This window comes from Homo sapiens, chromosome X (genome assembly GCF_000001405.40).
Source record: "Homo sapiens chromosome X, GRCh38.p14 Primary Assembly".
Taxonomy (NCBI): domain Eukaryota; kingdom Metazoa; phylum Chordata; class Mammalia; order Primates; family Hominidae; genus Homo; species Homo sapiens.
The window spans coordinates 53,605,672-53,633,574 of record NC_000023.11 but is presented as its reverse complement, the minus strand read 5'-3'; the positions used below and the strand labels follow the sequence as shown (position 1 = coordinate 53,633,574).

The following is a 27,903-nucleotide window of genomic DNA, read 5'->3' as shown; positions in this document are numbered from 1 at the left end:
AAGCCTTTTTTTCCTAAAGAGAATGGCTCTTTTCTGGTCTCAGAAAACCACAGATTAGATCAAGTTACTTTCCCACGTTAGCTGGCATACTTTTCTTTAGTGATTATTTTATGAAGAGATATTGGGTGATACAGTAGGTGAGTGTTGTCTGTTTAATAATCAAAACTACATAAATCTTGAAGTATATTCAGAGTTTGGAATTCTAATTATGACAACATAAAGGTTAACGTGTACTTTAAAAGGAAGTAATACATATACATGTTAAAAAATTCAGAGTATAAAGAGGTATGCAGTGGTAACTTCTTAATTTTCCAGAGGCAACCACTGCAAGTGGTGTCTTTCAGTGAGACATTTTAGTGGGCATTCTGCTGTCATCTTAATTTTGTTCATCATGTTGCTTTTCTAGAGTTAAAGAGAATGTTTTGTCAGGGTCTGGTTTATGTTGTCTTGGTATCTACCTGTGCAGAAAACATACCATGAGAAGTGGTGTAGAATGGTATAGAAGGAAAGTGTTTGAAGAATTATGAAGATATGCCTATGAGGCATACTTTGAATTAAATATTTCAGAAGGCTGATGATAGGTACAAGGTTTTTCGTAGGAATGTTCTTTTCCATTCTTTAGCTGGTTTCTGGGCCCTGGTATTTGTTCTCCATCCTTTCTTGGATTCTTATTCATTACTGCTTGGCAGTCTTGCCCCTCTTTTCCCCCTTGGGAATAGCCACAGTCAAAATTGATCTCTTAAAGGGAAACTGGAAATTTATAAGTATGAAATGCAGAAGGTTTGGGAGCTCTGGGCTCTGTCCTTTTGATTCTGTTTGAAAAGTCTCATCCTATCTGAGCTCTGCTCTAAGACAAACAGTTAAAGGCACTGTAGGTACTGAATGTACTGCTTATTCTTCTGCCACAATAAGTTGAACAAGTGGCTAGGACTTTGAGGGAAGATGTGGGGGATAATGTTTATAATCAGTTGAAACTCAATGTCTGATTCTTTGATGTGCTTTATACACAGAAATATCCACCCAGTGCAACTACACTACACTTTGAATTCTATGCAGATCCTGGGGCCGAGGTCAAAATTGAGAAAAGGGTGAGTCTGATTCAGATTTGTTCTGACAAAGTCTACAATTTACTGTAACTGGGATTGCCTCTTCTAGAACTCCTCAGTTAAATGAATAAATGGTTTTGAGCTACACTGCTGCCCTCGCAAACTATAAATATACCTAGCAGCTCCTCAGGAGTGTTAATTGCATCCCCAACTCTGATAGGGTTGGGTCTTATGTTGGGAGCTGCCAAAAGATGCAAGTCCCATCCATTATGAGGCACTGCTATGACCTATGTGCTTTTCCCACAGTCTCTGAGAATTCCAACATGTAGTATAGTAGTTTGGATGGTGATGGCTCAGGTTTCTCTAATTAGGAAGCCTGCAAAAGTCTTTATGTATTGTGGATAGTGTCCTGCTTAAATTATCTGGTCATTTTGTATTGTTTGAGGAGGTACTAAAGAGTTTGGTTTAGAAGTAGCTTAGTGAAAATACAATTTCTCTTCTACCTATACTATTCAATAAATAAATAATCTTTCTAGCTTAATTGCCTTGAAAGCAACTCTAATACATATTCAGAGAGAAAATATTTTCATGAATTTGGTCTTTGCTATTAATACTGCTATGGATATTAAGTCAGTGGAGGGTTAAAAAAGGACAAAGAAGAATATGAAATGTGCCTGGCTATGTGCATTATAGTTTGATACTACTGGTTTTAAAGGAGCTTTCCTAAGAATATTCTACATATAAGATGGATGTTTTGGAAGATTCTCAATTTACCTTGATTTTAAGAGCATTCACTTAGGCTTCAGCCTATTAGGTGACATCTTGGTTTTCAGACAGCCCTTTGGAGCTCTATGGAAGGGGAAGCTAGAGTGTTCAGTGACTCCTTACAGCTCTCTTGTCTTTTTTAATTTTAGACAACTAGTAACACACTACATTATATTCACATAGAGCAACTTGACAAGGTAAGAGGAATCTTTGACTCTTGGCTCGTTTCTTAATGTTTGGTTCACTTTTTGTTCCTAACTATATCTTTTTTTTTAATGTAGATTTCAGAAAGCCCTTCTGAAATCATGGAATCTCTTACCAAAATGTACAGCATTCCTAAGGATAAGCAGGTATGATGTGGCTTTAAAACATCCACAGGATGTGGTTGTTATCTAAATAGATTAATGATATGTACTGGGGTGGGAGATTGCATAGCAGAAAGAATGTCAGCTTTGGAGTCAGACCATGGGCAAATTGTTAGCTTCTCTGAGCCTTAGTTTCCTTGTCTTTTATGAGGTTAACACTTAATAACTTCCTAGGCCTTATGAGAGTTTGAGGAAAACATAAACTACCTCACCGTGAGCAGGTAATAAGTGGTGGTAGCTTTCTGAACACTTCGGATATCAAAGGAGAAAACGTTTAGTTGTGTTGTTTTTTGAGTTAGCCCTCATAAAGAATATTCACCTTTTTCATTGATGTTTTTAAAATGTATGTCTTATCTCTCTACAGATGCTGTTATTTACACACATACGACTGGCCCATGGCTTTTCTAATCACAGGAAGCGATTGCAGGCAGTTCAGGCCAGACTGCATGCAATATCTATATTAGGTAAGAGAAGAATACTTTAATTACCAGGCCGTATTAGACAGTTTGGGCCTGATTTCCTTTGAACTTCATTCATCTTTGTTGCTATGAGTCCTATTATAGTTACCTAGGTAGCAACTTAAATACTTCCACCCCTCCCAGTGTTCACTGTATTTATTCATTATCCTTGAGCTCCTTAATGTTGGACGAGAAAGAGGGTATGATGATGTTGATTGACATGTCACCTGGGTTTATTCTTGGTATTCGTCTCTTTTTTTTTTTTTTAATAGATATGCTTGTAGCTATCGTTCACTGTCCCCCTACTCTTTCTCTTGCCATTGTGTCTTCCTCCTCTCTCATCCTTTCAGGGATATCATCTTGAATTAAGTCACAAAATATTCAGTAGTCAATACTGTGCATTTAACTTCTTTTACTGTGGCACAGTAAAATGGAAAACACGTGGTTTTGTAATCAGTCCTGTACTCTGTCCCTGATTCTGTAGATTATTAGCCACACTTATCCTCTCAGCCTCAGCTTATTCGTTTAATATTGAGGTACTCACCGTAGAGGCTGGTCTAAAGATTAAATGAAAACCTAGAAAGCAATCTAGCACAGAACAAGCACATAGAAGATATAAAATGGTAACCATTGCTGTTATTATTGATGTTCATTATGTTATGACTTGCCTTCTCTTAAACTATGAGTTTCTTGGCGTGAAATTCTTGCTCTTTTATGTGTACTCATATCTAGCATGATTTCTGGCATGTTAGTGGGTGCTCAGGAAATCTTTGTTGAAAACTAAATGAATATGCCTAAATCCCATTAGTTTATGCTTCAGGGTACTGTGTCCGGTATTAACCTCATCGTGGAATTCATTGAATGTGAATTACACACATTCTGAAGTTTTACTACAGTGTCACACAAATTTCTGACTTACTCTGCAATGGTCCATAAATTCTGTTCTTTACAAGTGTTTACAGTAAAAGCAGAAGCATAGGAAGAGGCTAAAATGGAAATCTTATATTGAAGGCATAGTGGAGTTACATCAAGTAGTAATGTTATGAAAAATTAACTCAGAGCTTTTCCTATTTCCATCCCCAAAATTCTTTCTCAAGACTAATAATACCTTTAGTAGTGGAATCTGTCAATTCAGTGTCTGTTTAGAGATTATCAGTTGTATTTGATCCAGTCCTTCAGAATTTAATTTGGTGATGATTCTGCCCTCCATTGCTGGTTGGGAATGGAATTCTTCCCCAGAACCTATAGATACCAAAAAGTTTGTTATTGGGCAGTGGCTTGACCACTGCCTTCTTGCCTAAAGTGTTTGTTTCTCCTTTTGCAGTGTATTCCAATGCCTTGCAGGAATCAGCAAACAGTATCTTGTATAATGGCTTGATAGAGGAGTTGGTAGATGTCCTTCAGATAACGGATAAGCAGCTTATGGTAAGTATTTTACAGGTTGAGTAACCCTTAGCTGTAACACTTGGGACCAGAAGTATTTTGGATTTGAGACTTTTTTGGGGGGGGAGGGGATATTTGCATATACATAATGAGACATCTTGGGCATGGGACCCAAGTTTAAACACGAAATTCATTGATGTTTCGTATACACATTATATACGTAGTCTTAAGGCAATTGTATACAATATTTCAAATAATTTTGTGCATTTTAACTGTGACCTGTCACATGAGATCAGGTGTGGAATTTTCCACTTCTGGCATGCAGGTATTCCCAAAGTTTTGGATTTGGGAATATTTCAGATTTTTGAATCAGGGATCCTGCATTAATGTTCTCTGTATATCAGGCTTATACTTGTTTGCCTTTTGGTTTTTCCCAGAGGGTTAGAAAGAACTCCCAGTACTTCCCTCTTTGGGTATTAAACTGCAAAACTAACAAATACTAGATTTTCGTTGTTGCTCTCAACAGACCTCCATCCCCTCAAGCAGTTACCAGTAGAATGACTTATATTTTAAAGTTTGGATATTAGCAACTGGAACTTGGTTCAGTCATCTTATTATATTTGACACATTATGTGTTTACCTTCTAATTTAATAGGAGATTAAAGCAGCTTCTTTACGAACATTAACATCAATTGTCCACTTGGAGAGAACTCCCAAACTCAGCAGTATTATTGACTGTACTGGAACTGCCTCCTACCATGGATTTTTGCCAGTGCTTGTAAGGAACTGTATCCAGGCCATGATTGGTAAGTTTTGATGGTGATTATCTTAGGCAAGAAGAAACATTTGCCCTCTGCCTTTGTCTTTTTAATATCCTGCCTGCTTAACAGCAATTTTGAGCTTGTTTTTGTTCTCCCTCTCCCCACCTCCCTTGTAGATCCTTCCATGGATCCATACCCTCACCAGTTTGCCACTGCTCTCTTCTCTTTTTTATACCATCTGGCCAGCTACGATGCTGGTGGTGAAGCCTTGGTCTCCTGTGGAATGATGGAAGCCTTATTGAAGGTGCTGTACTTTTTTTTTTTTTTTTTTTAAACTACATGGGGAAATCAACTAAGGGTGTAGAGATGCAAGTTTGGGGTGTTTCACAGTGAGGGCAAATAATATAAGAAAGCTTATCCAGAAAAAGTTATACTTAAGTAGAAGGCCAGTTTGGCTTTCTAGTTATCTAATTAACAATGTTTAAGAGCAGCTACTTCCATTATTGAGACTTTTATCATAGTGTAGAATGGTCAGGAGGTCATGGGTTCTGGTTAAAACATTGCCACATGTTATCATGCCTTTACACAACCATAGGGAAAATATATGTCAGGGTACTTTGTAAGTTGTGTTGTAGTAGTAATAGCCTTTACTATGTGCAGGGCAATGAGCACCAGCTTTTTTCTCCCTAAATATCTTACTTAATCCTGCAAAGTAATTGATGTCCCCATTACCTCAGAGGTTGAGTCGCAGAAGTCATAGAACTGTCATTTGGCAGGCACCAAAAATAAAACACATGTTTTCCCCCATACTGTGCTGCCTTACTGAGGCCCCAGACTACATGTATACAAAAGCATGCAATTTTTACAACTTTGTGTCTTTATAGTTCATTGTTTTTGCCTCTTTTTCTCCGTGATAGGTCATAAAGTTTCTTGGCGATGAACAGGACCAGATAACATTTGTCACCAGAGCCGTCAGAGTGGTTGACCTTATCACCAACCTGGATATGGCAGCTTTTCAATCCCATAGTGGACTTTCTATCTTCATTTATAGACTTGAGGTATTATTATACAAGGAATGCTTTGCACAGAATTTAATACTCAGAGCTGAACCTAAGGATTGTCCTGATAACCCTAAAGAGCGATCTTACAGTCTCTTCTGTTTCTAGAAATCAACTGTGTATCTGCTTGCAGTGTTTTTCCATTATAATAGTTTTTAATCCCTGAAAAAAAAAATATATATATATATACTTGATTTTCTTATAACCTTTCTCTTGATTGTAGCATGAAGTAGATTTGTGCCGAAAAGAATGTCCGTTTGTGATCAAGCCAAAGATCCAGAGACCCAATACTACACAAGAAGGAGAGGAAATGGAAACTGATATGGATGGTAATTAACAGTTATTAAGTCAGTATTTTTGTGCTTGAGATTTTTTGTCATCCCACCCCAGTTTTCATTCTTCCTCATAAATTCCAAAGTACACAATTAACTTGAGTATATACTTTCAGCAACAAAAATTTTTTTTCTATGTAAGTGATTTGCAAATTTGTTTTTCACAAAGATAATAAGAAAAGAAAGGTACTAGTTCTTTGGAGTAGAGATGGCAGGTAAAGCAGATGCTATAGCTGTGGTGTTAATCTGTTTTATTTCATCACGTAATTTTCTTATGTATTTCTTATTGTCTTATTTCTACTAAAATTCAAGCTCCATGGGATCAGGATATTGTCTTTTTCACTGCCGCAGTGCCTGATAACATCCTAGGTGTTAGAAATATGCTTGGTAGAGAGAGAGAGACTAAAATGGGACCTTTTAAAACTTTACCTATTTTGAGAAGAGAAAGGAGAGGTAAAAAGGTTGTTGGGTAGGCAACAACATCCGTTAGGCTGGCACATCACTTGAGCCCAGGGGTTCGAGGCCAGCCTGGGCAACATGGCAAAAATCTTGTCTTTACGAAAAATACAAAACTTAGCCGGGTGGGGTGGCATGCACCTGTGGTCCCGGCTACTTGGGAGGCTGAGTTGAGAGGATCATCTGAGCCTGGGAGTTTGAGGCTGCAGTGATTTCAAAATGTAAATAGTATTTTATCACTGATGGAGCCTTAATACATTTTATAAACTGTAGTCAATGATTGTGTATCTTATACTCAGTTATTCAAGTGTATAAAGTAAAAATGAATGCTCACTTACCTACCATAGCTACTAGTTTCGGTGCGGATCTTTCCAGGCTTTTTTATGCATATTCAAATACATGTTGATGTTAAGTATGTATGTAGTATTTTAGAATGGGAAGATGAGATCATAAACATACTGTTCATCTTGCATTGCTCATTCAGTGTTTCATAGACATTCTTCCAGATCGGAATATTGAGTATTAATCTTTTCATGCTTTTTATATTTATTAATTACTCTTTTGAAAAGCTGTACCTATTTGTATACTACCAACTAGTAGTATATGAAATTGCACATTTTACTTACCACTCTCCCCCTCTTCCCCAATTTGGTAGGTGAGAAATATTGAAGGACTTCTGTAGGATTGTTAATTTACACACACACACACACACACACACACACACACACACACACGTGTATGTATGTACGTATTAATACATGCAACTAGTGATATATTTTCATTTTGGGGTTCAGTATTCCTGATCTTCATTTTTATATTCATTTCACATTAATGGAAGAAATTTTCTCAAACAAAATTTTTCTTTTTGTGGTACCTTTTATTCTAGTAAGTTTCTTTATCATAACTTGTACTTTAGTTGCAGATGTGGCTATGGAAAGCAGTCCAGGCTCATCCATCTCTATGGAGCACAGGCTGGATGTTGAATTAAGGGCATCAGGTTCCAGCAGCAGCACTAACATCTCTTCTGGCCCCAGCCCTGGTCCCAGTCCCGGCCCCGGCACCGGCCCTGGCCCCGGCCCCGGCCCCGGCCCCGGCCCTGGCCCCGGCCCCGGCCCCGGTCCTGGTCCCGGCCCTGGCCCCGGCCCTGGCCCTGGCCCCCGTCCTGGTGCGTACACACATAGATGTGCAGTCTTTCAGAGTGGTAGAGTTATTAAACTATTGAAGAAGGCGGCTTTAGGCAGAACTTAAATGGTACATTTGGAGGTTAGCATCCCATGACTATTCATGCTCCTTCACCATTCTGGTGTTCCATTTTCTTATATTAACATGTCTTTCATAGCATTTTATACTTTTCCAACAATTTGCACATTGATTATCAAAACAGCCATGTTGGAGGGCAGATAATATCCAAAATGGGAACTGAGTGAGGTAAAAAAAAAGTTGAACCTTTTTACTTTGTAATTTTTCTTTTTTACTTTAGACTTTTAGTATTGGTAAAATTAAAAGTATTAGTAATTTTTCCAATTTCAAAGCTTAATTAAGTATTCTTCCTAACATTCAGAGACCTCACTTCGAATGTCTTCTAATTTTATTATAGTGTATTTGGATCTCTTAAAATTTTGTTTTATGTGCTTGATCATTGTGGTTTAATGGCGAACTCAGCATAATTCTTTTGTCTTTCTTCATTGCCAGGAGTCCAGTGTATTCCACAACGAGCAGCACTTCTGAAATCCATGTTGAATTTCCTCAAGAAGGCCATCCAAGACCCTGCTTTCTCAGATGGCATACGACATGGTATTTGATTCCAGATAACTTTTTTTGGAGGATATTTTACTCTCTCAAAGATTGGTTCTTTTCATACTATTCTGGCACCTGTTGTTTTACAAGGCAGTCTTTGGTAAAGGCCATGCCATTTTCAATAGCTTTTAGTTGTTTTGTGTCACTTTTCCTAGATGTAAGTGTTGCTTAGCTATTTTCATAATGATTTACCCTTTTTTTCCCCTTTTCCAGCTTTCGACTCTGTGCTTAATTCCGTCTTATTACCCCTTTCTGACTCTTAAGTGTTTGTGTTCTTTCTTTTTTTAACCCGTGTTAGAAAGCCTATTGCATGGACAAATAATAAAATAGGAGGAGACAACTGGGGGCCATTAGATTAGAATTAACACAGGCTTTGAGGACCACAGTGTGATAATACATAACATATCACTCAATTATCCCCACTCCTCACACCTTTCCAGACTATTCGTATTCTCCATAATGTTCACTTTTCTTTTAGTGATGGATGGTTCTCTGCCTACCTCCCTGAAACACATCATCAGCAATGCAGAATACTATGGCCCATCACTCTTCCTCCTAGGTAAGTGGAGTTGATAGTTGGTTATAACAATTTGGGATAACCTGGCAGAGCTCTCTCTCTCTGTATTTACTTACTTACTTATTTACTTATTTATTTTTGAGACAGAGTCTCACTCTATTGCCCAGGCTGGAGTGTAGTGGCGCAATCTTGGCTCACTACAACCTCTGCCTCCCGGGTTAAAGCGAGTCTCCTGCCTCAGCCTCCCGAGTAGCTGGGATTAGAGGTGCCTGCCACCATGCCTGGCTAATTTTTGTATTTTTAGTAGACAAATATGAATAGTAAAATCCTGCAAGGATATAAAACACAGAGAGGCCGGGCATGGAAGCTCCTGCCTGTAATCCCAGCACTTTGGGAGGCCGAGGCGGGTAGATCACCTGAGGTAATGAGTTTGAGACCAGCCTGGCCAACATGGCAAAACCCCATCTCTACTGTCTACCTGGACAGTAGACAAATGTCAATAGTAAAATCCTGCAAGGATATAAAACAGAGAGGCCGGGTAGATATCTGTCTTATTGGTGATGAAATAAAGGTCAGAATTCAGTTTTAAGTAAATACCTATTTTCTGGGTGCTGAATATACCTTCGATAAGTAGTACATTTGTAGTAAGTAACATTATCATACATTTTGTTTATCTGTGCTAGAATTCTTAAAACGCTAAAGGAATTTAGTAGGAGACGTGGAAATAGGGAAAGTCTCCTTGTAGTAGCAAGCATTGTGTTTTACAGTTTGGGGTGTTGGGGAGACTAGTTTTGGCTACTACAACTTAGATACTTCCTTGCCCCCTTGCTGAAGAAATTTAGGATTTTTGTATATTAACCTTGTATCTTTTAATCTTGCACAGTTCACTTATTAGTACATACTTGTTTTGTTTTCTTAGAATATTCTACATAATCTTGTCATCTGCAAATGCATTTTTACTTTGTTTATGGTCTTTGTGCCTTTTTTTTTGTCTTATGACATTAGCAAAGATTTCTGATACAGTGCTGGATAGAAATAAGAATGGGCCTCTTTGCTTTGTTCCTGAATTTAGAGGGAAAAGCATTTAATATTTCACCATTAAGAATGAAGTTAGCAGAGGTTTTGTGTTGAAGGTTTTGTCAATTTTGTCAGGTTGAGGAAGTCTTCTTGTGGTGTAGCAACTCTACCATGCTATGGAAAAGCTCTCTGCTAAGGTTATGTTCAGATGGCAAAATTCAGACAATAGTTCTTTGGGGTTTTTTTGTTTTTTTTTAAGATTTGTTTTACGGTGGGGACGTCTCAAGGCCAGGGGCAGGGAGAATGCCCGTCTTCTGGGAGAAAGTCCAGAACAGAGAGAAAGAGAAAAGGATACACAGGCATTTTTCTATAAATGGGAAGCTTAGAAGAAGGAGCAATTGCCATTGACAGGGATATTGTTTAAAAGAGGGAGGCAGCAAGAGGATATAGTGCTTAGGTGCTGGGATAGTGGTGAGGAGCAGGTGAGCCCTATGAGGATGATGCCAGAAGTGAGGGACACGGGCAGGAAATGAGACTTAGAGCACTAAATCAAAGGTCAGTGAAGGTCCAACTTCCTTCCCTATGGTTTTCTTAATTCATCCCTCACATTTAAATTAGCATAGCAACCTCCCAGTTTTCCCATAAAATACACTTGTACTTGAGAGAGAACAAATTTGCAAAGCGAAACCTAAATAATTAGACTAGCCATTGTTATTTTAGCTCCCCAAATGATAGTACAGAGCCTTTCACTCCAGGTGGAAGGAGATGGCCCAGGAAAGACATCAGGGAGTTCTGAGAACCTCTTGGAGTATTTTAATAATATAATTGGCAGTTTGGGTTTATTTTTGTTGAACTATTCTGGATACCTTTTCTTTATTAATGATCATGCAACAGGAAGTCCCTTTAAGGCACAAGCACTATCTTGAAATGCCAGTAGGTAGTTTCATGCCAGTCTGTTATCAACTATCATAGTAACTAAACTGCTTTGTCCCTCATTGAGGGCTTCTTAGGCCTGAACTGTTTGGTTAATGTGGTCTGTCAGGAGTTACAACATGTCTCGGTAACCTCTATGAGTTGAGTCTGTGTTACAGAATTGGAAATACCTAAACTTGTGCCCGTTACACCAAAGATTCTGATGAGGCCCAGAATAGGTAAAAAGTGCTCCTTTTTGTGGCAAGACTTGATAAAACAGCTAGACTTTCTAGTTGAATTTGAGGTGCCCTGGGCACTAAATGTCCATAGTACATAGGTCAGCTTGTATGGGTAGAAGGGAACAGGATCGCTGAATAAAATGTATAACCCTGCTGAGCAGGAGTTGTAACACAGAAGAATCAGTAGCCCAAGAGGTTGGAAGTTGGAGTTTCTAGGGGGCAAACTTATATCAGGGTGGACATTCTCAACAGGGGGGCATCATTGTATGTACTATCAGTTGGTGGCAGAGGCTGGGAAAGACATGAAATCCTTAAGGGGGAAGTTTAATATGGAAGCACCCAGTGAGGTCACGATGTCCTGCTTATAATTTCACACTCAAACCCACTAAATATTCTGACTCCTTCTCCCTCACGTGTCCGACCTCTGGCTCTTCTATGCCACTTTTAGCCACCTGTATTTCATTTGTAGTATCCCATTTAACTTCCCCAACTCCCCTCTCTTCTTTCTCACCTCCTGCCTTACCCCTCATGTTATCTGTTCGGGTCTGTTTGTAGCCTATGCTAACGTCATCATGCTTATGATTGACCACTTAACCAGAGAGTGTAGCAAGTTGTCAATATGAGTATTGAAATCCTCCAAGGGAGCAAGATATAGTTGTATGAGTAGTTGCCTGGGCTAGGGTATCTGTTAGTATTGCTGGAGGTTTAGTATGTAGGTGGCATTCTCTGTTACTAATACATAGATACAATCTATCAGGTTGAGTGAGGGGAAGCAGGAAATATAGGTAGTGACTGGAATAGTGAAATTAGAGTGTAAATAGTGAAAGTGGAGTGTGGGCTGTCAAAGAGTTGATGGGGCAGTGGAGTTATGATGAGTTATGTGGGGGCAGTTACAAGGGCAGTTACCATCTTGAGGGTGTTAGCGTCAAGGCTGGGACTGTCAGTTGTACTGAAATCATCATCTAGGATGCTTTGGTATGCTGGATGGATAGAAGCCCTAGGCTCGCACTTGAGAAATTATTATAAAAGTAACTCAGTATCCCTTTGCCTACAAGAGTTTTAGAATAATTTCAGATAGGGAAGCTATGCACTGATTACCCCTAAACAAGTGGGATCACAGCATGGGCAAAAAGGAGCCCAAGAAGTTTGGCATTGAGCTGGGGTAGTAGTATCCCAGACCCAGACCATGAGCCAAATGAGGTATAGACAGGCCAACTAGAGCCAGAATATTCCACAAAGATATTTTCAGGCCTGTGGTGCGTAGACTTTTGGCATGCCGAAGTGCCAGTTTATTATGGGAATCACAGGCATTGCCATCCCATATCCTGCAATAGTCTCCCATTCAATACCTCTGTAATAAGGTGGTTCCAGAACTGGCTTCCTGTCTAAGAATGTTGGTACTAGGAACTAACTTAAGATTTTTCTTTCCTCTTTGGAAGAACCATACAGTTGTGTATGTCAACCCAGGCAGAGAGACTAAGACCTTCATTTCCTATGAAGAGGGATCTCCAGTTAGCAGTCCTTTAAAACCATCATATTAGGAAAGGACTTTGGCAGAGACCTTCTGCATAGTCTTAGAGGGTGAGGGCCCTCAATTTTCTGTGGGTCCCATCCTGTTACCTACTTTCAACCTAGGCTCCTGTCCACCGTGGATCGCACCAATATCAAATGAGGAGGTGTCGTTAAGTGAGGGGGATTCTGTTTGGGTATTATAGACTCATAGATGGAAAGTATCTCATTTTGAGGCTAGAAAGGGGACAAAGGAAGCACTAATTGTGTTTTTTCAGATGTCATACAACTAAGGCAATCGGCAAAAGAGAGATCAATTTAAGAGACCATTGTCCATTTAGTAAGTTTAAGAGAGCATTGAACAAGCCATTATGCCTCTATTAGGCCTGCTTTCTGTGAACAGTACAACAGATGGGCCAGGCACTGGCTCACACCTGTAATCCCAGCATTTTGGGATGCTGAGACAGGCAGATTGCTTGAGCCTTGAGCCCAGGAGTTTGAGACCAGCCTGGGCAACATGGTGAAATCCTGTCTCTACAACAAATAAAAATGTTTGCAGGGCATGCTGGTGCGCTACTCAGGAAGCTGAGGTGGGAGGATCACTTAAGTACTGGAGGTTGAGGCTGTAGTGAGCTATAATTGCACCCCTGCACTCTAGCCTGGGGAACAGAGTGAGACCTTGTCTCAAAAAAAAAAAAAAAAGACAAATGGAAGCTCCAAGGTGATGCCTTGTTTGAAAAGGCCCATGCCCAGACTGAATGAGCGGTAACGTACGTACCCTGGTCAGAGTCGGTGTTACCAGAAGCCCAAAGGGAACTAACTGAGGGCTATAATAGTGGTGGTGTTGGCAGTAGTTGGGCAGGAAGGATAAGCCAAGAATGGGTCTGTATAACAATCAGTTGTGAGGGCATAGCGATTTGTGCCAGCAGATTGGGGCAGTGGCCCAATAAAATTGATTTGCCAGTGAGAAAAGGAGTGTTTACCTCTGGTATGGTGAGCCCCCACTGGTGATGATGCCGATGGCACGACAGGGCACAAAGAACATATTGGGAGGCTAGGGTTTGAGTAGGGCTAGTGGCATGGGGATGCAATGGCATTTGGGCCCAGGGACTGTGATGACCTTCTGCCTTCCTTTACTCTCTTCTCTGTAACCTTGACTTTCCAAACTCTGTTGGATTCATTTTCAGTTCTATTGAAGTACATCTGTGGGTAATTTTTAAGGTGTCAGACTTCTCTTTCAGAAGTTGGTGGCTGTTTTCTTCATTGTATTCTAATGCTACATTATTGTAGATAACCATGGTGTCACACTGGTTCTTGTTCTTATCTGTATATAGTTCCTGCTTCTGCCTTTTTTTTTTTTTTTTTTTTTCTTCTATTTCTCTGATTCCTTTTAACTTTCTCCTGGAAACCCTAATTACCTTTTTTCCATTTCTTAGTTGCTTGGTTCCACACACAGCTGGTTGCTCTGTGCGTGTATATACCCTTTAATTCTAATTCTTGGTTATCAGTGTTTTTGTATAGGGGTCCCAGTGCATAGTGTCGTTGCGACTTCTTGATAAAATAACAGGTTTGATGTCTTAGTAATTGCTTGTAGAACACTAATTTTAGTTTTTAAATACTCAATTTTAGTAACTCTATAGAATTCATACATTTCTACAAATGTAAGTCAATCGAGGGGAGTGTCATACCAATAGGAACCCCAAAAAGGACTTAAATTTTTCAGAAGTTTATAGCCCATGAGGAATCCCAAAGGCCATTGAAAACTGTTGGTCCCCGGTAACTGCTATATATCTGCCATTCCCCTAGCATTTGGGATAAAGGAGAGATGCTGTATTCACCATCTTGAATAGAAAATCCTCTGGTTTCTTTTAGATCTTAGGCATCACCATAAACAAGTTTGTTCTGTATACATGGTTTATGGGTGTTGTATGTATATTCCTCTTCATCAGGTTTTTTAATTAAAGTTATTGTAGTTATTGTAGTCTTATGAGTTGGGAAGCTTTGTCTTAATTATTCCTAGAAGGTTTAATAAAACTATTGGCTTGGTGCCTCTCTATTACCTGGATTTTTTTTTTTTTTCCCCTTTTAAAAATTCTGGAACGGGCACGGTGGCTCACGCCTATAATCCCAGTACTTTGGGAGACTGAGGCGGGCAGATCACCTGAGGTTAGGAGTTCGAGACCAGCCTGGCCAATCTGGTAAAAACCCCATCTCTACTAAAAATGGAAAAATCAGCCAGGCGTGTTGGGTGCCTGTAATCCCAACTACTTGGGAGGCTGAGGCAGAAGAATTGCTTGAACCCAGGAGGTGGAGGCTGCAGTGAGCCGAGATTGCACCACTGTACTCCAGCCTGGGCGACAGAGTGAGACTCCGTCTAAAAAAAAAAAAAAAAAAGAAAATTCTTACTGGTCTAGTCTGCTTTGCTGTCACTTCCTGAGATTTGATTTTTATGACATTTTCTTATTAAACTATACATTTCACTTGTTGGCATATAGTTTGTAGAATATATTTTTCTGTATCTAGTTAAATCTCCTTTCTCATTCATAACGTATATTACTGCTCTTTTTTCTAATTTATATTATTTCACTTGTTGGCATACACTTTGTAGAATAAATTTTTTTTTTCTGTATCTAGTTAAATCTCCTTTCTCATTCCTAATGTATATTACTGCTCTTGTTTCTAATTTATATTATTGCTCTATTTTCTATAGGTTTATAAGCTTTTCCAGTGTCTTCACAAAGCTAGATATTGGCTTCGTTTATCCTTTTTGCTTTCGTTTTCACTGAATTCTTTTTTCTGTTAATTCTTCATAGCTTGTTTGGTTACTTTTTAATAAATACTTTAATGCTGTACTATTTCCTCTTGAGTAGAGTTTTTCCCATGTTCCAGAAGCTTTGGTAGTTATTACTGCACATTTTAAAATATTATAATGTCAAAAACTGATCAGATTAATATTCAAGGACTCTTGCATTGCTGGTGATAGTTTAAAATTGTTGAATAACCTTTGTATGAGGCAGTTTATCTATTTTCATCAGTAAAGCTTGCATTTGCTTTAACCCAGCAAGCCCACATCATAGATTTTTTTTCCTGTTAAAAGCAGACAAAAACGGATATATGTTTAGGTTTATCATTTTCACAATTGAGGACTGGTTTTTATACATGTGGTACATGCATTTAGTGGAATAGTAGGCAGCCATTCAAAATGAATGGGTCGTTGTGTCGGGAGAGGACATTATACGGTATGACAGTTGTGGGGGAAAAGCAAAATATATAAAACAGTGTAACCTCATTTATGTAAAAATATGCCCATAAAAATCCTGTAAGTGTAGTCACTAGATTCTTTATAGTATTGAATCTCTGATGGAGCAGTATTAGGATCTTTAATTTCATAGTAAGCACAAGGGTTTAAATTGCTAGACATTGAGTATGTATTTTTTTTTAAGCTTTTGGTGTTTTGTTTTCAGTTTCTGTGAGGAATCTCTCAGTTTTCCATATTTTCTCATCTTTTTTTAGCTACTGAAGTGGTGACTGTGTTTGTATTTCAAGAACCATCACTGCTCTCCTCACTCCAGGACAATGGATTGACAGATGTCATGCTGCATGCACTGCTTATCAAAGATGTAAGTCTTTTCTGCTACTCTGTAAAGAATGTCTTAGGGCGTGAAAATCCTATCTCTTCTGTGTGTAGTGTTGAATCTAATTGGGACCTGGTTGTCAAAATTCCTTCTATCTCAGCTTGATACCCATGGCCGGATTTTCCTAGCATCTACACTCTTTTAGATGCATTCAAGCTCACTTTGTTTTCTCTTTAGGTTCCTGCTACCCGTGAAGTCCTTGGCTCCCTCCCAAATGTATTCAGTGCACTCTGTTTGAATGCCCGAGGTCTTCAGTCTTTTGTTCAGTGTCAGCCTTTTGAACGCCTCTTCAAAGTTCTTCTGTCTCCAGATTACCTCCCAGCCATGCGGAGGAGGAGAAGTTCTGATCCCCTTGGTAAGTTGTTAAGATTTATTTTATAGTAGAAAATTGATTTAGTTTGCAAGGAAACTCTTCCTTGATCATCTCTCTCATCGTTTTACTGGTTAGGTGTGCTAAGTTTAATGGGAATTATCATCATACATTCTATTATACTTCAGAAGGAATACTTCAGCTTCTCTGCTCATAATATTTCCATGCTTCTCAACAGTTCACCATTGTACTTTCATGGTACTGGTAGAAAATAGGTATTAAGAAGCAGTGGTAGATTTCCAGGTTCACCATCTGGTCTGCAGCAATGAGAAATATGGAGTCCTGAGGTGTTCATCTGGTAATCTAGTGTTCTGATGTCCAACTCTCTAAGATAACGACACATGGATATTTTTTTTTTACTCAGTATACTTGAGACCAGATAATTGAGAGATTATTAGCAAAAAGGTAGGGCTCCAGAAAGATTACAGTTTTCAAAAATGTGCTTTGTACTTTTCAACCACCACTGTAGCATTTAGACACTATCATTCTTAACTGGAGCAGCCAGAGGGTTAATGGTTTGTACATCTTTCTTCTCTCTCACTCTGTAATACTAGTTTAGATCTTGACAGCAAAGATTGCCAGAGTAGAGTGCAGCACACATAGTTACTTTAAAATAGTTTACTAAACTGATTCCTTCCTTTTCCCTAGTGATTTGGGGGGATAGGGGCTGGGTGTAAATTCATTAAAGAAGTTGTGGCATTAGAAAATCACAACCAAAAAAAAAAAATAGGAAAAAAATATCACAACAGCCTGGCCTGGCACAGTGGCACACACCTACCATTTTGGGAGGCCAAGGTGGGCAGATCACTTGAGCTCAGGAGTTTGAGACCAGCCTGGGCAACATGGCCAAACCCCATCTCTACCAAAAAAAAAATTTCTCCAGTCACGGAGGCGCACACCTGTAGTCCCAGCTACTTGGAGGGCTGAGGTGGGAGGATCGCTTGAGTCCAGGAGATCGTGACACTGCACTCCAGTCTGGGTGACATAAAGTCTTTAAAGGAAAGAAAATCATAACCAGGCTCAGTTTCTTCTTTCCACTTTATATGTTGGTACAGAAAAGAGCCCAAGCTCTATTTTCTTCAGTCTTTCTAATTCTAACAGTTCATTTTTTGCCTTAAGGGGATACTGCATCCAACCTGGGGAGTGCTGTCGATGAGCTCATGAGACATCAGCCCACCCTTAAAACAGATGCAACGACTGCCATCATCAAGGTAGAAAGTGATAAGGATGTGACCATGAGCATGAGAGAGCAGAGAAGGGGAAGGTTTTAGAAGATTGGCCTACTAGAGGTCATTAGGATTCTTGGGCTATAGCTGTAAGAGCATTATGTCTGCCTCATTGTTTCCATGTCCTTAGGTTGGTCCTTTATAAAAAGATGTTGTCATTTTAGTTCATCTTAGAAAGAAGTCTCTGTTAAAATTTTTTTAGCCTGGGTGCAGTGGCTCACGCCTGTAATCCTGGCACTTTGGGAGGCTGAGGCTGGTGGATCGCTTGAGGCCAGGAGTTTGAGACCAGCCTGGACAACATGGTGAAGCCCCGTTTCTATGAAAAATACAAAAGTTAGCCGGGTTTGGTGGCGTGTGCCTGTAGTCCCAGCTACTCTGGAGGCTGAGGCAGGAGAATCACTTGAACTCGGGAGGCGGAGGTTGTAGTGAGCCAAGATCATGCCACTGCAAGACTCTGTCTCCAAAAAAAAAAAAAGTATTTTAGATTGAGAATTGTTTTCCTTAAAAATTTTTTTCCATTTAATGTAACCTGTATATAATGATTTCTTTTATATATTATATGGACAAGCAGACATGGCTTAGATTAAGTTTGTAAAGCATATTACCCTTTCTAGTCTCCGTTTGTTGATCCCTGTGGCTGCCCCCCACCCCCGCCTTATTAGCTCTGCCAGTTTCCTTTTAGAATTGTTGTTGAAATTGGTATATAAGTTCCTGGTGCTTGGTGAATTGGGACAGGGAGTCAGGTTCGTCAGTCACTTATACAGCCGTGTGACGCTCAACAAATTATTTAAGTTTGCAGCACTTCTATTCCCTTGTTTATAAAATGTAATTAATGACCATATTCTGGGAATTATGTATATAACATGTATACAAAGTGTTTGGGCAAATACACAACACATAGAAAACGCTCTAAATATGTTAGCTGTCTCCTCCTCCCCATTCCATGATTACTAATAAGTAATCTTATTTCCTGTGCCTTTCAGTTACTTGAAGAAATCTGTAATCTTGGAAGGGACCCCAAATACATCTGTCAGAAGCCATCAATCCAGAAGGCAGATGGCACTGCCACTGCTCCTCCCCCAAGGTCTAATCATGCCGCAGAAGAAGCCTCTAGTGAGGATGAGGAGGAAGAGGAAGTACAGGCCATGCAGAGCTTTAATTCTACCCAGCAAAATGAAACTGAGCCTAATCAGCAGTAAGTGTTTACAGAACAGATCATCTAGCCATATAATCGTGGGCATGTTATCACCTCTCTAAGTCTTAATGAACACTTTCATCTATAAAAAGCAAGAGAGTTGTATTAGATCATTTTAAAGTTCTAACCGGTTCTAAGAATGTATTAGTTTTTCCTTTTTTGACCCTTGTGTGTCATTTGTGCTTTGGTATTTAATTGTATTGGTTGCCTTAGGAAGTGATCTTTTTTTAAAAAAATTAATTAATTTTTAATTTTTATTGATTTTTTTGAGAGAGAGTTTTGCTCTCGTTGCCCATGCTGGAGTGCAATGATGTGGTCTCGGCTCATTGCAACCTCCACCTCCTGGGCTCAAGCAGTTCTCCTGCCTCAGCCTCCCAAGTAGCTGGGATTACAGACACCTACCACCACACTTGGCTAATTTTTGTATTTTTAGTAGAGATGGGGTTTCACCATGTTGACCAGGCTAATCTCAAACTCCCGACGTCAGGTGATCTACCCACCTCGGCTTCCCAAAGTGTTAGGATTACAGGCGTGAGCTACCGCATCCGGCCAGGAAGTGCTCATTCTTAAAAGCTGTTGATGAAATTGAATCAGAATTTGGTCCATCAAGTTAATGGACTTTGCACAGAGACCTTATTTTCCCTTTGTTGATTTGATATTCCACATCGACTGCTTGATTTTTTTCAGGCACGTGTGAAAAACAATGTACTTTTGAAGCCTGTCTCCTAAGAAGTCCTTAAGGGGTGTGTGAAGATTTGTTGTTGCTTGTTGTTTTTTTATTTTTGTTCATTTTGTTACTATCTGTTCGTTCCAGATTAATTAGTAGAAGGCTTTGGAATTTACTATATGACTGTAAATAGTCAAGAATTGACTGCTTAGATGGAAGCAGGGAGTTTGCTTAAAGGCTTAGTGATTGGTAGGGGGTAGTCCACCAGGCTCTTTGAGCAGTATTCACATACCAGGGATGAACTGTAACTGTATACCTGTAACTTTTAGTCACCTGCATGCTGAAAATGGGATTGATCTTTCTGGACAGTCCTGCACTCCCTCATATAATAAGTGGTCTTTTAGTGTGTAGGTAAGTCATTCTGAGAAAAGCTTGAGCATTTTAGGCACAGCTATGAATGCATTTGAGCTGGTCCTGAATGGCACCTTGGGACTTAAAATTTAAGGTGGAGTTGACAACAGGAGCAAAGGCCTAGAATCCGAAACTGGTATGTCCTCTTGGAACTCTAAATAGTGATGAGCCTGTGGGTGTCAAGTGTTTTAAGGAGAGGCATTAACTACTAAGTATATTGCTTTGTTGAACAGATACCTTACCCTGTCTGAGAAGGCAAACCTATCTTCATTCTAGCAGTATCTTTTGTTCTCTTTTAAATGTTCTTTTTCTAGAAGAGGAGGACACCCTGGAAAAAAGCACGACTTTTTTTTGTAGACGAGTCTTAGTGCTTCCTTTGTCACACCCTTGAATGTCAGTGACCCTACTGGAGTGTGGGGTTCCTTTTCCTGGCTACAAATAAGGAAAAATTTTAAGGTGTAGGTGGTGGTGGTTTTAATTCAAGCTCATATATATTCATCTGCATGTGACGTCCCTACCTGGATATTTTCCAGATGCCTTACATCTGATGTGCCCAGATTTCAAGCTGACACAGTTAATCAGCACACTACCCTCATTTGCTTACCCTCCTTTCCTTTCTTGGGCTATCATGTATCACTGTGTTCTATCCACAGCCATCCCCATTCCCACATCACCTCCTTTTACATCCACCAGATTTCTGTAAGGCTAGTTCAAATGTCTTATTCTTGAAGGAGGTAGGTTGGTTGGTTGGTTGGTTGGTTTTTTACCTCCAAATGAGAACTCAATCTTGTGTTCTCCCAACAGTTTTGTTAAAATTATTCATACATGTTAATGGTTTTCCTCACTCACCTATAAGCTCCTCAAGAGCAAGACATTGCCTCATTCACCAGTGTATCCCTATCACTTTGTATATAGTAGGTAGTCAGTAGGTTTGTTTATTGAAATGAATAAAGAGCCTTAAATGAAGGATTCCTGAAGTCTTAAATGCTTAGAGAGCTAGGCCTAATGAGACATGAATGAAAATGAAGAGAAATTAGAAATATAAACCCAGTAGCATTAATATTCTACCACAGTGATAGTTATATGTAACTTCTAAGATGCAGAGGACTCTAGTAGTTACTGTACCCCAGTATCAGTAGTTTTCTACATTCTGGATGCTCATCACTGCCTCATTTGGATAATCCAGGAGTCTCACAGATGTTGACACATACATTTTTTCACTTTTGCCATCTTCAGAGGCCTAGATTGGGTCACTAAGTAAATTATTAGGGAAGGAAGAAAAAGCAAGAGACTGTCTAAACTTAGCTTCATTTTGAAAACCACAATATATTAACAGCAAAAGTTCTTTTTATCTTCTATCCCAGGCAATTGTTATAGGGGAATTGTGTACTTTCTCACAATATGGTGAAAGGGCTTAGAAAGATTTGGAATATGTGTCACCCTTCTCCCCAGAAGTCTTGCCCATCCCTTCCTCCATATCCATAGTTCTTCCGAATTTCTGTTTCCCATGCTCTCATTTGTTTTCCAATGCCTTATACACACATAAAATGATTAACTTTTATCTTTATTTTATTTTATTTATTTATTTTTTTTTTTTTGAGACAGAGTCTCACTACATCACCCAGGCTGGAGTGCAGAGGCACGAGCTCAGCTCACTGCAACCTCCGCCTCCCGAGTTCAAGCAGTTCTCGGTCCTTAGCCTCCTGAGTAGCTGGGATTACAGACACGTGCCACCATGCCTTGCTAATTTTTGTATTTTTAGTAGAGATGGGGTTTTGCCATGTTGGCCTCAAACTCCTGGCCTCATGTGATCCACCCACTTCGGCCTCCCAAAGTGTTGGGATTACAGGTGTGCACCGCCGCACCTGGCCAATTTATCAGCAGTTTAAATTCAGGTATGATTTCCATACAGATTTTACATTTCCAGTTTCCCTGCCCAAAATTGAGACTGTTACTCATCTTACTTCTGTCATCATATTATTATGTCTATTCCAGAATATGTTTAAATAAAATGACCATATAAAGTCTTATGTGTATATTATATCTGACGTATATACCTTCTTGTATCTAGCTTCTTTGTTTGATGTGTTTTGGAGGTTCATCCATGTTATTGCATCTGTCAGCAACTTGTTACTTTTCATTGCTGAGTAGTATTCTGTTATGTGATAATTGTATAGTGATTATCCATTTTCCTGTTGATGGACTTGGGTTTCTGAGTTTTTTCCAGGCTTAGACACTACCCTTTCTTTTTTTTTTTTTTTTTTTTTACAAAATCAGCAGCTAGTATTTGCAAATGGTGTTTGTATTTACTCTTGAAATACATGGTTTTGTGCTGGAGATTTGGAGTAAGGAAACTTAGGCACTATAGTCTACGCCAGGTACGTGGGGTGCCTTTCTACACTCAGACTCACTCACCACAAGTAGTTCTAAATACCTGTCTTTTGCCCCCTTTCTTCTGCCTTCTGAATTGTTTGATCTCAGAAAATCTGATATTGCTGGGGATGAATATACTTAGCAGTTAAGTAACCAGGGTTTGTAGTTGGTGCATCACGGTTCACTTTGTGGTTGATTGCATTAGTGTGCCTAGCTTACCACCCACCACTCATGAGCAGCTTGAAAGAAATGGACTATATAAAGTCTTTGTCATCTTTAGAACTTGAATAGCAATTGTCTGGAATTTAAAGGCAATGAGTGCAGAGACGCAGTTGTTCCCTGAAATGTGGCCCACTGGGAGGGCTCCTTTGTCAGAGTCAGCTGTCTCCTCAAAAGCTGGAGGAAGCACCTGACCATCCCCCCATCCCAAAAAACCCCATATACATCATACTATGACACTAAATTGATATCCTCCTTTACTTTTGATGGGGGCATGAGCTGGGGCTCCACCACCATAAATACTGAAAATTGACCAGAGTTTGGGAATGTGTGTATGTTTGGGGAAAGGGAGAGAGACAGGAAGTTTAGAAGGACTTTTCTTGAAATCAGTTGGTAAGTTGAGTCCTGTTGGAAAGAGTTGATCATTTTGATTATTCCTGTATGGCTTCTTGGGCCTGAGAGCCAAAAGATGAGGGGAAGGAGAAAAGTGGTTACTGAACAAATTTATTCCTGAAATTATATTAAGAACCACTATTGGTTTGCTTTCTCTCTGTTCTTCTCCCCAGTTTCCATGTAGCAAATGAAGGGGGCATATAGGTCTCATTTGATTTTACTACTTAGGCTCTTTGCCATTATATCTGGCTTCTTCAAAGGGTTGGGTGTCTCTGGGCGGGATCCACACCTGCACTCCTTATCGATAGAGGTGGATCTATATAGGTAATTGATATAAGTAACATGGAATGCTGCAGTGGTTCTGAGGAGGAACTTAAAGAAAGGTTTGTGGTCTTCTCATGGAATCATTTCAGTCTTGCCTTATAGGTATACTCCCTTTCTACAAAGTTCTTCCCCACATTTTTCATTGAGGAGGTTCACAACATCCTACCCAAACCTGGTTCTGGGTATTTTTGTCACTGAAGTCATTCATAATGCCTCTCCACTCTCTTTTCCTGTTCTATATTCTGCTGCCAAATGTTCTTGTGCCTGGCAAATCTTTGTTTACATTTTGTCTTGCTCAAAGATGAGAACTACTAGCTTCTTGCCAACTTTCTTGTCTTCTTCCTCTACCTCTCCCTCTGTCTCTGCCCCATCCCGCTCTCCTGCACCCTGTGCCCAAATCTGTTTCAAGGGCCTGTGTCCAAAATACTCCATTTTCTAAAGTATTTGTTCCTTCCTGGGGTTTATCTTAGAGGTATATTTTGATTCATCACAATATACTATATGTGTAGTTTTTTGCATTGAGCTGCATTTTCTGCAGCTGTGGCATGTTGTAGCCTTCTCATCTGCTGTGCAATATTGAAGCAACTGAAAAGACAAAAGACCTGATCAGTTTTTTGATAGTTCAGGAACTGTCATGCTGCAAATACCAATTGTTAGGGAAGGGAGACCTCAGGTGTATGAATCTTTGAACTAAATTAAATTGTATTTCCTACTCTCCATAACTTTAAACGTGATGCAAAAACATCGTATGATGTTTAAGTGTTTCTTTGTCTAGCCTCTTTCTTCAAGCAAATGTTGAGTCTTTTAATTGAACTTATTTTTAGTGTTCTCATGTGGATAAATTTCCCTAACAGTAGTTTGCCAAAGATAGGATAGCTTCTCTTGTGATGTATACTAATGTTGAGTTTTTAAAGGCTTGGTTGTCCCCTTTATGCTTTCAACCTTGGTCAGGCTTGGAAAGGTAGATTCAGGATTGATTTCAGCTGTTTTTTTCCTGCGGTATATGAGTCTAAAGGCTCATCTCTACCCCATAAGCCTGGGAAGCAAAGGCTGCAGTGAGCCATGATTGTGCCACTGCACTCCAGCCTGGGTGACAGCAAGACCCTGTCTCAAAAAAATAAGCAAATAAATAAATAAATAGAAAAAGGCCTAGAATTTTATACAGTGCCTCCTCCTCTGTTCTCTTAATATTGGTATTGTGAATTTCTGTGTAACTCACTCTTTTCTCCCCTAACAGGGTTGTTGGTACAGAGGAACGTATTCCTATTCCCCTCATGGATTACATCCTTAATGTGGTAAGATTCAACACAGGGCAAACTGAGTAAAGATGTATATGTGCTTTTCTGGAAAATGTGTTTCGTTATCAGAGTCCAGTAATTACCGTATTCATTTTAATTGGAATCCAATTAAGAGGGGAAAGATGTGCCACCCTTTTGTTTTTGTTCTAGACTGGTTTGCCAGAAATTAGCCAACACAAGCCCCATTATTTTGTATTCCAGATTTTTTTGTTCACTGTTACCATTCTCCATTAGAATCCAGACAGGAATCTGTAACAGGTTTTGTTTTGCCAGTCTAGTACAGGCTGATCATCCCAAATCCAAAATGCTCCAAAATTTGAACCTTTTTGAGTACCAACATAACACTGAAGGGAAATGCTCACTGGAGCATTTTCAGCCTGTACTGTATAATGCAAATATTCAAAAATAAAAATCTGAAACACTCATGGTGCCCAAGCATTTCGAATATGAAATATACAACCTGTAATATGTTTTCCAAATGTGTCCAACATATATTTTCCCCCTTTTTTCCCATTACTTCCTGGGTATCTCACCAAAAAAGTGAAGAGTTTGAATTTTCCCAGAATTGTTTACCAATAAGGGAGAGACCTCTTAGCATTTGTTTCAGCCTACTAATCACTTCCAAGACTTCCAGAGATAGTTTGTCTTGTGCCTGTGTGTTTATTGCCCACATTTTACTTTTTTACTCTTAAAAAAATTCTTTGTTTGAAACAAACTCTTCCAGAGTTCAGTGTTTCATTTGCATTATGCGTTTCATTTGCATTATAAGCACATTTGGGGGAAATTTTCCATGATGTTTGCCTGCAGGAGAGAGGTAGGCAAGGAGCACTAAATAGCAAATTAAGAGATTAAACATGATTGTACCACTAATTCATAATGTGGCCCTGAGCAAGTCACTTAACTTCTCTGTTATCTCGAAATATCTGATTCTTGGTGTGCTTGAAAATGGAGATTGGGCAGAAATTGTAGATATTCTTTACTTCCTGGATGTTTTAGAATCCGTATCATACATCTGGTTTATCTGAGGTTTTGATACTCTATAGAAAACACTAATATCATGACTAGAAGGCTACCCCATCCTTATTCCAGGCTGGCCATTTAGTTCCACCTGTCAGGCTCTAACTTCTTTAAAAAATTTTTATTACCTAGATGAAATTTGTGGAATCTATTCTGAGCAACAATACAACAGATGACCACTGCCAGGAATTTGTGAATCAGAAAGGACTGTTGCCTTTGGTTACCATTTTGGGTCTTCCCAATCTGCCCATTGACTTTCCCACATCTGCTGCCTGTCAGGCTGTTGCAGGTGTCTGCAAATCCATATTGGTAAGAAGCATCTGGCCAAATGTTTTCATTTCTTTCTGGAAATCAATTTTGCGATACTTCTGTATATATGTTTTTACTATGGTCTCCCTTCAACTAAAAAATAATGAATAAATTTGTGTTATGTTGTATAAGTGAATTTTGTGACTAATATATAGTGTGCCATGTTATTTCTCATTGAAAAGTCAAAGTATTTTTTCTTTGTTCATCGGTTGGGTATGTAGTTCTACATCATTAGAGTTTATTGGAGGGAAAAGTGTATCTCCAAGAAAGCTTTTCTAGTTGGGTTTTATTAGTACCTCTCCCTTCTTTGTTATAGGTGCATTTTAAACACATTTTATGTTTATGGTTATGTTTAACCATGTATTTTCCTCCCCTTTCAAGCTTGGTAGTCATGTATTTTAAGCATAATTGACATGTAGTTCATTGCCGATACTTAATTCCCCCCTTTTCAAGCCCGATAGTCATGTATTTTAAGCATAATTGACATGGTAGTTCATTGCTCATATTTTGCCAAAAATGAAGCTTCTTTATTTTTTCATAGTGGTAAACTACACATAACATGAAATGTATCATCTTAACCATTTTGAAGTGTAGAGTTCAGTAGTGTTATGTGTATTCATATTGATGTGCAGCCAATCTCCAGAACTCTTTTCATCTTGCAAAAATGAAATTCTGCCATTGAACTTCTCATCCTCCCCTCTCCCCAGACCTTGGCAACTACCATTCTATTTTTTGTCTCTAAATTTGACTACTCTAGGTACCTTATATAAGTGGGATCATAAAATATTTTGTATGTGCGACCGGCTTTTTTCACTTAGCATAATGCCCTCAAGGTTCAACCATTATGTAGCATGTGTCATAATTTCCTTCCCTTGTAAGGCCTAATAATATTCCATTGTGTGTATATACCACATTTTGTTTATCCATTCATCTGTTGATTGACACTTGGGTTGCTTTCTCCTTTTGGCTGTTGTGAATAATAATGATGCTGTGAACATGGATGTACATGTAACTCTTTGAGACTCTACTTTTAATTCTAATTTTCCCACATCCTAGCCAATACTTATTTTCTGTTTTTTGATAATAGCCATTCTGGTGGGTAGGAAGTGTATCTCATTTTGTTTTTCACTGGCATTTCCCTAATGCATAGTGATAATGAACATCTTTTCATGTGCTTGTTATCCATGTATATATCTTCTTTGTAGAAATGTCTATTCAAATTCATTGTTCTTTTTTAATCGTGTTATTTGTTTTGTTGAGTTGTAAGAGTTGTGTATTCTTGTACACGTATTAATACCTGATACTAATTTCTTCTCAGGTATATGATTTGCATATATTTTTCCTGTTCTGTGAGTTGCCTTTTCTTGGTTGTCTTTGGATTCACAAACATTTTTAATCTTGATAAAGTTCAGCTTCTCTTTTTTTGTTTTTGTTGCCTGTGTAAACACCTGTGTTTTTGGTGTCGTGTCCACAAAACCATTGCCAAATCCGATGTTTTGCAGCTTTCCCACTGTGGCTTCTTCTAGGAGTTTTATAACTTAGCTCTTATATTCAGGTCTTTAATCCATTTTGATTAGATTTTTTATATGGTAAAAGTCTGTCCTTTCCTATTGCATGGTCTTGGTACCTTTGTCAAAAATCATTTGACCATATATATGTGAAGATTTAATTCTGGGCTCTCTATTCTATTCCATTGGTCTTTACGTCTGTCTTTATGCCAGTATCACAGTTTTGATCACTGTAACTTTGTAATAGAAATCAAAAAGAGTGAGACCTCCAAAAATTTTTCCCCAACTTGTTTTGGCTATTTGGGGTCCCTTAAGATTTCATATAAATTTTAGAAGGGATTTT

General features: G+C 39.0%; 1 protein-coding gene across 50 annotated transcripts in view; it reads left to right on the top strand.

Moving 5' to 3' along the window:
• Positions 1 to 27,903, top strand: part of HUWE1 (HECT, UBA and WWE domain containing E3 ubiquitin protein ligase 1) — a 154,624-nt gene that overhangs the window by 53,145 nt on the left and 73,576 nt on the right. For 21 of the 50 annotated variants that reach the window (XM_017029199.2, XM_017029202.2, XM_047441747.1 and 18 more), the window contains 18 exons: positions 1,011 to 1,088; positions 1,961 to 2,008; positions 2,093 to 2,161; positions 2,541 to 2,640; positions 3,938 to 4,059; positions 4,673 to 4,823; positions 4,955 to 5,082; positions 5,696 to 5,836; positions 6,060 to 6,165; positions 7,541 to 7,789; positions 8,317 to 8,418; positions 8,900 to 8,980; positions 16,129 to 16,235; positions 16,428 to 16,605; positions 17,740 to 17,831; positions 18,830 to 19,041; positions 24,666 to 24,723; positions 25,876 to 26,052. In XM_017029199.2, coding sequence (XP_016884688.1) covers positions 1,011 to 1,088; positions 1,961 to 2,008; positions 2,093 to 2,161; positions 2,541 to 2,640; positions 3,938 to 4,059; positions 4,673 to 4,823; positions 4,955 to 5,082; positions 5,696 to 5,836; positions 6,060 to 6,165; positions 7,541 to 7,789; positions 8,317 to 8,418; positions 8,900 to 8,980; positions 16,129 to 16,235; positions 16,428 to 16,605; positions 17,740 to 17,831; positions 18,830 to 19,041; positions 24,666 to 24,723; positions 25,876 to 26,052 — 2,199 coding nt within the window. The remainder of the gene's footprint in view (positions 1 to 1,010; positions 1,089 to 1,960; positions 2,009 to 2,092; positions 2,162 to 2,540; positions 2,641 to 3,937; positions 4,060 to 4,672; positions 4,824 to 4,954; positions 5,083 to 5,695; positions 5,837 to 6,059; positions 6,166 to 7,540; positions 7,790 to 8,316; positions 8,419 to 8,899; positions 8,981 to 16,128; positions 16,236 to 16,427; positions 16,606 to 17,739; positions 17,832 to 18,829; positions 19,042 to 24,665; positions 24,724 to 25,875; positions 26,053 to 27,903) is intronic. The other 29 variants (NM_001441048.1, NM_001441051.1, XM_047441751.1 and 26 more) reach the window with 3 other exon arrangements.